Raw genomic sequence first — 10846 nt, forward strand, 5'->3', positions numbered from 1 at the left:
ATTTTGTAATGTGTAATTTCTTATCTGTATTTCCACTGTGCTGTGATTATTTTTCAGGTAAGACTTTTACTTCATCCCACCCCTGCTATGACAAGCAATATCTGGCATATCTGGGTTATGCAAATCCCACCAAAAATGTAAACTTTTGAGATTAGTAATTTAATTTACTCATCTCTCTATCTAGCTACACATCTATCTAACTGTACCCAGCTCTGTGCCTGACATAGTGACATCACAACAATACATAACAAGTTTTTAAATGAGCATTTGAGGAAGTCCAATACAGATGCTCCTTTATTTACTATGAGGTAACATCCCAATAAATCCACCATAAGTTGAAAATGTGAGTAGAAAATGCATTTAATACACTTAACCTGCTGAACATCATAGCTTAGCCTAGTCTACCTTAAACATTCTCAGAACATTACCCTACAGTAGGGAAAATCATCTGGAAATACTGTATGCTGTAGAGTACGAGCTGATACTTCAAGATCTTGTTGCTGACTGGGAGCTGCTCCTCACTGCTTGTGCCCAGCATCATGGGAGTGTCTTACAACGTATCACTAGCCTTTGATCAAAAGATCAAAATTCAGAGCAAGTTTTTATTGAATGTGTGCCACTTTTGCACCACCATAAAGTTGAAAAATCATAAATCAAACTCAGTAAGTTAGGGACCATCTATATATGGCAGTATGAAAAGTAACATAAAGGATTAAAGGTCATTCAGAACACCAAAAGTATTAATAGGGAGGGTGAAGTATTGGAGAAAGGATTTATTTTGTGAGTGAATGGCTACTGCATACTGGATACTAAAATTGTGTAGATTCACCCACAGAATCACAGGGACTGCTAGACCAGTGAAATATCCTGCTGTCTAGATATGGATGTGGGTGTGGCAGGTAAGGGATATGTTAGAAGGAACACAAAAAGTTGGTTCTCTTCAGGAAAACTGGCTCCAAAAGAAAGGAAAGGAAGATAGAATGAACATGATCAAATTGTTCTCCAATGTTAAAGTTACCTATCAAGCATGTTTTCATCTTCCTCTGATGCAGAGAGAATTAATTGGTGGACAGAGGCCATATTATTATATTCTGCATATGGACAAAGATAGTAGAAGCAAGGGAGTGCAATCTTTTAGGCATATTGAATAAATACAAAAAATAAACAAAGGTATTATTATCAGATTCCTGCATCAGGAGGAATAATAACACAGGACTTTTCTCAATTACTTTTGCCAGCTGGAAACTCCCAGCCAGCAATGCCTTTGTCCCACCTCGACTTGTGGTTTTGGGCTGGCTTGGCCACACTGTTGCTTCTCATGGTGTGGGGCAGTTGCCCTCTGCTGGTGGAGGGCAGAGGGCCACAGTGTTATAGCCTTCTGAATAACTCCATTTGGTGGGTCCTGAGTTCTTGTCCTTCATACAAGAAAAATGAGGATACACTGGACAATTGAAGAGTGAGGAGGGTGCAGGATAATTTTATTGAGTAACAGAACAGCTCTCAACAAAGAGAGGATGCAGAGGTAGTCCCCACCCCCACAGTTGGGTGGTTTCTCTCTCAGTGGCTGAGTCCAGGGCTTTTATGAGCTCAGATAGGGGAATACATGCTAATTGGTTTGTGAGAAAGGCTAAAGCAAAGGTGCCACTCAAAGGTGAGCATAGCAGTGTAGAAAATCAATTAGGAAACAGTAGTTATGTGTAGGGTGGGGAGACATCAGAGGAAAGTGTGTCACAAAGGAAGACAGATTCTCAATCTGGTCTGTGTATTTGACTCGTTGCTTGGCTTTCAGGCTTTGTCTTCAGCTTGAAGGTGGGGTTTCACTGGAGAACTGCCCCTATTTGCCTAGGCATTTGTCTGCCTCCTGCTAATATCAAATTCCCCCTCTGAAGAGGTACATCTAATTGCCATTAGGATAAGGACAGTGACAGATCTTAACTGCTTCCTGCTGACAGGGGTCACCATTTTGGGAAGATGGGAAGTAATTTCTCCTCAGAGGCCTATCTAACGGTCCCCAGTAAAAGGGAGCCATCATCCAAGGCTCCAGTTGCATGACTGTTTGGAGTTCGATGGCCTGAAGGTGAGAAGAGACAAATCGGGTTATTAGAAGTTATGTATCAAAATGAAACAAGGGGATAAAAACAGTTAAAATATCCAGAAGCTGCTGGCACACACAGATAACTGGTGGCTATTAGCTATGCCTGCTAAGATTTGGGTGCATGAGGCTTGGCTTTGGTTAGCTCCAATTTGTTCTTATTTTCCCATCAAAGAAACCTAGGGTTATGAGCACCCTCTGCTATCACCTGGCAGGATTTGCAGGATAATTGCCCAGAACTAGAATATTAATCCAGATTTTGATGTTGCCCATCACTTTTGTTTCCTCTGAACTGCAGCCAGAGATCACTGGTTGGTTCACAGGAACAAGCAAAGTTAGTTTAAAATGCAGACAAAAACTTAAAACACAACTAAAGAGACTAGAATTTAATGGCAAGTGTATAATAAGTTTTGAAACATCATTTTCTCTCTTCAATACTCATTTTTGTTAAAAACAAATCATAATAGGACTGAATTGTTGGCAAAATAAACTTTGATCTTATACTTGGCCTGATTATAAGCATAAAGTGCAGCAAGAAAAATTATTTTCACATAGGCTTTTCTAAATTGGCTTCGATAAAACTTTGTTACAGAAGGAATCTCAGATAAGATTTTTTAAAACCCAAGTTCAGTCATGAGTTTATATCCTCAAATACCTATGAGTTGGGTAAATTCCTCTCTGTCTGAGGTCCCAAGATAACTTGGGGATTGTTGGCCTGTTAGAAAGTGACATTCTTTACACATCACAGATTAGAAACCCTGTACAGGGACTGAGTGAACAAGGTATAAGGCCAGTTTTCCTAATGGGATTTTATTGGCTCTGCAAATCAAGTTTGATTCTGTAAAGGAAAGCATGCCATTCCAGTGAAAGCCTTTGTAAAACAACCAGTTTTTCTAATTGTGTCTTGCTGAAAAAAAAAAAAAAAAAAAGGATTTTTATTGCACTCATGCAAATAACTATATTACTGTAAGTTAAGAATACTCACAAATAGTTTCCAAATTCTAGAGAAACCAGGCAGAGAAACAAGTAAGCTCCAAATTTTGTTCACAGGAGTGTAACTTACTCAATTATTAAAAGCTGCAAATAGTTCAAAAGTTTTCTTGACTCAACTGTCAGCAATATTTTAAACAAAGTCAAAAAGATTTCCTCATTCTCCTACTAGTTCATTCCATGCAGTTAACTCCTGTCCTATTTGATGTTCACAAACATTTTAGCTCTTTAAGAGTCCTGAATATTTTTCCTTTATTTCAATGTCACAATCTCTGAATGTATTAGAAACCTGCTTTTATAAGCACCTATCAAAATCATATAGTTGATTATAAACCATATTTTGAAGATAATCAAAGCAAGACAACAATTGTCTATGAATGACAAAATGTCCAGGGTAGTTACATTCAAAATTACAATTGGCAAAAAAATTTGGTAATTTGTGGGGTTTATAATAACTTAGCATAATTACTTCATGATTGATACTGTATCTTCAGACATTAGAATTTTAGAAATCCCATATAATTTTGGAAAATGTATTAATATTATTAATTATAATATAATCTAAAGAGGATTCAACTTTATTTTTATTTTGCAATCCCATTTCACTAAACATGTCAAATAATCCTGTTTACCTCTCTTTTGGATTCTCCAGGGGCCCTCTTTAGCAACCAAAATTTAGGGGCCAGGAAAGACAACATTTGAAGCTGAAATTTGATTTTGGGAAGACTATTAAATAAGTTAGAGGTTTAAAACACTTGATATTATGAAATAGAATTCCAAATTACAAAAGTCATTTATTTAGCCAAAATGATGACTCAAAAATTTTAAAACAAGGCAAAATCCTTTACTCATTATGAGGGAAGTTTTAGCTTTCCAAACAAGCTATCTCTTGTCTTCTCTCTCTCTTTTTGGTAGTTTATTTGCAAGGCAAACAAAAATATTTTATTATCCTTTACTATTACATAAAATTCTTGTACAAGGGAGAGAAAGCCAAATTTTACCCTCCCATTAGTTTATTAGTAATGTTAACCCCAATCTTATAACAAAACCTTACAGATAATTCTATCTAATCTCAGGCAGTTTGACCATGAGGTGAGATTCTTATAAACTTTTTTATAACAATTACTAATTTTTGTTAAAGAGCAGATCGGTGCCTTAAGAAAATCTTGTTGTGATTTTATTTCAATTTTCAATTTAGAGGAAAACCAAATCATATCCTTTTGAATTTAATCAATATGTTCACATACAGAATTTCTTTTACAAGATTAATTTTTGTAAACCTCCTATGACTTGTTTAAATCTTTCACTTTATCTTATCTAATTTAAAACCATCCTTTAGCTCTCTAAGCTTGGCAAAAATTTCTATCCCCATGCCTTCTTATAATCTTTAACTAAAAACACATTTTACTTTCCTTACACACATTGTATGTAAATCTATTTTTAGTAGTCTCAATTACATGTTATAATGGTAACCCTTAGCAATTTTTAATTATAATGTAAAACTTGGTAAGTTATTTAATTACATACTAAGCTCAGATAAGGTCTAACTCTTTCCAGCATTGTTGGGGTGTGGTTAACTCCATATGCCCCAGGCCCTACCAAACTGTAAAGCAGGCAGTTTGAACAATTTTCAAAAGGCAAAGAAGCTGTTTTTAACTTTAAAGCATTTAGCAAGCCCGGTATCTGACCTTCAAAATTTAGACCACATGTTTACATCTGAAAACATTTGTATTTAAAATAGCTTTTATTTCTCAAAGTTTAAAGACACTTTAACTAAAAGGTATTACAGCTCTTATTTTTCCTTCAAAAAATATTTGATCTAAATTCTTATTTTCTTTAAGTCAACTAATTAAAGCTCTTTTTTACATAAACATTACACACATAACACATATAACTACACAGACAGAAAGAAGATTCAGTAGTTGTAAGATTTTTCAATTGCCAATCTCTTATCAGCCTCAGGGTAAAGCCCTTCAAGAAACAGGGCTAGGAAAGCATAAAATGTCCAGGGCCTAATAAGCAGATACAGCTGGAAGACAAAAACAGATTTTGAGAGGGATTTATCTGCTTTTAATTCTTGGGATTCCATGAGGAAAACAGAGGTTTTCCCAAAAATGAGGTCTGTGGTGCCTCCTCTGTTTTTCCCAAAATGTCCCACACTCTCAGAAGTTACCTTAGGGCCTCTCACGTGTGCATTAAGTGTGGCAAGACAGAATTGGAAAAATAATTCAGTTGACTGAGAAGAACCAAACCTTTTTCCAGCAAAACAAGATCCAAGAAGAGAGAGAAAAAAATAAACCGTTTAAATATACCTATACCTTCGGTATCCATTTTTGATTAAGTTGACTTTTATCCATAGCACTCTTTTAAAAAAAAGTCTTTTAAACCCTTTATTACCCGACTTTAGCTAAGCCAAGTGGCCAATATTTCTGGCTTTTGAACTTTACCAAAAGTAAGTTCACAGGTGAAACTAACAAGCCTCAACTAAGGTTATGATTTAACCACAAGTGTACAAGGTATTTTCAAGGAGGTGGTAAGTAGTTTTTACAAAATCTATAATATTTAAAGATAGCTCAGAGAAAAGACGATTAAAGAAAGGAAGCTAGATATTGTTCATAGAGGGGAAGAGAATCAGCAAATGGTCAAAGTCACACAGATATTAACCAGAAAGTACTCATTCCCTAAGCCAGGACTGAACCTGGATTGCCATTGTATAATGAAAGAGAACAAAAGAAAGAACTGCCACATGGCTAAAGGTCAAGGTCCCAAAGAGATAAAACAAAATGGAGACCTCATCCAGTTTTGTTTTACAATTCTTTTTTTTTTTTTTCTTCAGAAACCTGTAGCAAAGTTTGCTACTGACCAGTTTTCTGTGATGGCTTAAACAGTGGGCTTATGGGGTCCTAGGCCAGCATTCTATCCTAAGATAGCCCTCTTTCTGATAGAAAGATATAAAAAGACAAATTTCTAGTACAACAGATTTGCTATAGCTTAAGACTAACCTTACAAATCCTTTTTCCGTTAATCAAAATTTTACACAGAGAATATAAACTGATTTTTACCATTCATTCTACAGGTTTGCACAGGGAGGGAGAGGGAGGCCAGAAGTCTAACTATTAAAAAAGAAACATTTGTCCTTTTACTTGCATGTCAGAGTTCTGGGTTCCCTTCTCTTGAGCTATGGAGCCCTCTTGACCCTGGCGTCCTGTAAAGGGGGAGCAGACAAAGAGTTTATTCGCCTACTGTAAAAGTTGTCCATCCTCAAGAGATTTGCTCTGTTAGATCTGTAATTTCTTCCCAGTTCATTTTTATGCCAAAGATTTTAAGGTTTGGGGAAATTAAACCTTTCCTAGTTTGGGGATGCATCCCAGGGGAGTGTACTATGGTATGAAGATGTGATTACCCAGCTGTGAAGAGAGGACAGAGGAGAAAATGGGGAAAAGAAGGCTTTTTTTTTTCCGTGGAGTCTCAGTGATTCAGGATGCACTTGAGAGAAGCACAGACTGAAGATAGTTGGTTACCCATCTGGAAGAGGGAAAAAAGACGTCCCTTCATTTCTTTCTCTTCCCAGCAAATACCCAGGGTATGTGAGGGAGATAAAAAAAAAAGGCATCCCCTTTTTTTCTTTCATCCTTATATCCCTGCATCCCAGTGAACTTGGCAGTTGCCACCCCTGGGTGCCAATGCAGCTTTCTCTGATGTAACAGTGATGCCTAGAGGGTAGCAATTATCCACACTCACCTACACACTGGCCTATCCTCCCTGTTGCTGGTAACCTTATCTATGCCAGGGTTATGGACATGACCTCCATCCATGAAACAGGGTAGGAAGGGCTAGTTGGGCAGAAATTAGTCATGCTACCTGCACTATGCCCCTTGACTTCCGTCGTTGCCCACCTCTGGGTCCCTCGGATACAATTTTCCTTTCTAGGGCTTCAACTTGAAGTTTGGAATTGAGTTTGGGACAAAAAGTTGCCTCAGAAGGGTGCATAGACATATTAAGTTAAGTTCCAGGTGGCTTTCTCCAAATTTGCAGCCAGTAGCCAGTGGGGCCACTTCTTCACTGCTTTCTTATCAGAAGCAGAGTGCTAAGGTGAAGCTGTGGAACTGGGTCTTCCCCAAACAAGGCCTAGTAAGATGCCTTCCAAAAGGAAAATAAAACTCTCACATAGAAAAGCACCCTGTATTTGCAGGGCTGAGTTAACTCTTGACAATGTGAAGAAAAGAAAAAAAAGTGCCTGTGGGAAAAAGCCTCTTGCTCTTTTACAAATGGGTTCCATCAACAGGAAAACAAAACAAAACAAAACACTTCCAATCACTGCTTTTTCCCTGCTTCTAAGAATAGCTAGAAACCATATTGTTCTGAATTACGTTTTTGATGACTGGGCCAAGTGCCCGTTCTACCCAGTAATATCTCTGTAGTTTGCAACAACATTCTTAACATTGTAAAAGAGAAGATAGGCACCATTACAGCCCCCAAAAGAAGAAGAAAAATGCCATAGAAAAGTCTGGATTGGTAGAAAACCAACATTCCCAACCCCTGAGAGTGGTGGGGGTAGGGAGGTCCTCTTCTGCATCCTGTCCTCTGTAGCTGTGCTGTTCAATTCACTCTTAACTGACTAACCAGAAGTTCAGTGCTTCATCTGCCTTCAGAAAAATGTCTGAGGACAAGAAACTTCGGAAAAAAGTGAAGAGTCTTGGTCTGCATTTAACCACCCTTCAGGGATCATGGACAAGCCCCCAGAGAATATCACTTTTTGATATGTGTCCTGCTAGCAAGTACAAATATTAAATTTAAGAGCATTGAACATTTTCAAGATGTAGTTCACAGTTTATAAACCATTAGTTCATTATCATTCAATTCCCTCATTCCTTAAATTCTTCTGCTGTCTCCTGACTGACCATTTTCTGCTTCTGTAATTATTTGATTCTTTCCATCTAGTCTTAGATCAGTTATGCTTTGACCTTCATAATTCTTCTCAGAAATATATGGCACCACCAAGTTTTCCTTTTCTTTAAATCTCTGTTTTACCTTGAGACAGATGTGCATGTGCATACATAATACATTTTGGACTAACGTTCCTTGATAGCTTTTTTTTCTTACTGCTCAATAACGTTATACTGCTCTATTTTACAGGAAGCAGAAAATTTTATGAGTTCAATTTAGTTTGCATTCCAAAGCAGTAAGTAAAACTGTGAATTTGCTCCATTTGCTTACAAATAAGCAATTTATGGCTTGAGTGAACTCTTTTAGTGATTACAGTTTACAGCAGGAAGACATGGTATTTAATATCTTAAAAAATAAACACACTGCTCATAAATTTAGGAAGTCATATGATAAATAACATGAGAGCATTCATGTTGCAAAGGGACAAAGTCGTTTGCATCACACTAGAACAATTTATATGCAAGAATAATGAAACAGCTGGAGTGTTGTTATTACCCATGGTGATGATCCTCTGTCTTACCCGGGTACCTCCCTGAAATAATAAGTTCTGCATTCTACCCAATTAATAAAAATCTTAAAGTATGTGATGGTGGTAGGAGTGAACTCTGTTTGAATTGTTCATATGAAAAGAATTATTTAAATACAATATCACAACAAGCAGAGTTTAATGTTCTAATAGAAAACAGCCCTGTTTTTACCTTCTGATATTTGATGGATATGTAAATTTGGAGAACAATAGCATATAGTAATTTGCATCTTGAAGGATGAGTTTAAAGAAAAACTTAAACACTTCAACTTCCTTAAGTTTTTTCACTTTTGATTTTTTTTTTCTAATTGCAAGTAAGCAACACATCTAGCTTCCAAAGATGAAATTATCTGTTAATTTTAAATATATGAGCTGTTTTTTAAAGTCTTACTGTGACTATAAACTTCTATTGTCTCAATGCAAATGGGATAAGGTGATTAAAGTGCTTTAGAAGGTATCTTAAAATTTTTAGTAATTTAGATTTAGTCCAGCATTGTAACAAAAATTGCTGGACAACTGCATTACTATTTTGTAAATTGTCAAAAAAGTATAAATCAAAAGAGATTCTACAATAGCATCTCCACTGAGTGGATTTTTTATAAAGAAATGTAATATATGATACATTTTATTAGTCAAATTAATTTTGATATGGATGTAGCTGATATATTGGTAATAATAAAACTGCATAATCTGTATATTCTTGAGTTACTTGTTACATAAGGCCACGGTCAACAAATGTCTAATACCTCAATGTCTGGTACGAATTTACAGCATAAATTAATTCAAAATCACTTAACAGTCTAGGTACTTTAAATGCTGTAGGTCAAATGTATGTATAATCACAAAGACATTTCAAAAATATATTTTTCTCCATGCTATGATTCTGAAGTAATAATTTTTGAATCTGAGGTATCTTTCAGATTATTTAATTTTAAAATACACCACCCTTTTCATATATTGTTTTTTAAATTATTATTTTATTTTTATTATTTTAGAGATAGGGTCTCTGTCACCCAGGCTGGAATGTAGTGGCACAATCATAGCTGACTGCAGCCTTGAAATCCTGGGCTTAAGTGATTCTCCCACCTCAGCCTCCTGCATAGCTAGGATGACAGGTGCATACCACGATGTCTGAATATTATTTTTTTGATTTCTTTTATAGAGATGGAGTCTTGCTGTGTTGCCCAGTCTGGTGGTCAAACTTTCAGCCTCAAGCAATCTTCTTTCTTCTGCCTCTGGAAGCTCTGGAATTACAGGCATGAGCTGCTGCACCCAGTCCCTATTCATATACTTGTAACTTTATCTATCTGTCTTTTCAGCTAGTATTTATAATGGTTGGTAATAGATATATCACCACTCTTTTAAAAAAAATGGTCATTTGAAATCTAAGAATACTTTAGAATTAATCTCAATTTGGCAAGTGTTAATGTGAGTGGTTTTGTTGTTCCTTATACTGCTATACATTTTCATTAAAAACAAACAATCCAGGACCTTAAGTTTGTCTCAGTGTGTAGATAGACTTTTTCTTGCTCAACATTTACAGAGTTCACAAGAAGTCCTCTCCCCTGCCAGAATATTTGTCCAATATTTACATAGTTCACAAGAACACCTCTTTCCTTCCCGAATATTAAACAAGCTTCTTTCAAGTTTAGGCCTCCTGACATACCATTTATTGTGTGTAATGGAGTGGCAGAGCAAGACGTGTATTATTAGAGAGGCTGGTTAAAACTACTTTTCCAGATCCTTTTGTTTTTTCCTAGGAGAGATTCTGTCATTTTATCTTTGTAAATTTTTTTGGCATCTTATAACCTTTACCATTAGCTCATAAGCACTCAAGATTATGGTGCATGGATTCCTCTCACTGATCCAAAAGAGTATTAAAATTAGAAAGCCAAGAATAAAGGATAAATAATATTTCAGACAGTCATATAATCTTTGACAAAGTTGGTAAAAATAAGTCATGGGGAAAAGGTCTCCCTATTCAATAAATGGTGCTGGAATAACCAGCTGGCCACATGCAGATGAATGAAACTGGTCCCCTACCTTTCACTATTGCACTGGTTCATTCTCTCTTTGTTATAAAAAGCTGTCTGAGACTGGGTAATTTATAAAAGAAAGAGGTTTAATTTACTCACAATTCTGCATGGCTGGGGAGGCCTCAGGAAACTTACAATCATGACAGAAGGGGAAGTAAACACATCCTTTTTCACATGGCAGCAGGAGAGAGAAATGCATAGTGAAGCATAGGAATGCCCCTTATAAAACCCTAAGGTCTCATAAGAACTCATTCA

The 10846-nt window shown here is 36.3% G+C and overlaps 1 annotated feature.

The window, feature by feature from the left end:
• Positions 1109–1403: a silencer, noted in NCBI's record as "tiled region #1726; K562 Repressive non-DNase unmatched - State 24:Quies". NCBI's record gives its function as "represses a minimal TATA promoter and a strong SV40 promoter by Sharpr-MPRA in K562 cells {active_cell/tissue: K562}" and the evidence as "EXISTENCE:reporter gene assay evidence [ECO:0000049][PMID:27701403]".

Source organism: Homo sapiens, chromosome 4 (genome assembly GCF_000001405.40).
Source record: "Homo sapiens chromosome 4, GRCh38.p14 Primary Assembly".
NCBI classification, from domain to species: domain Eukaryota; kingdom Metazoa; phylum Chordata; class Mammalia; order Primates; family Hominidae; genus Homo; species Homo sapiens.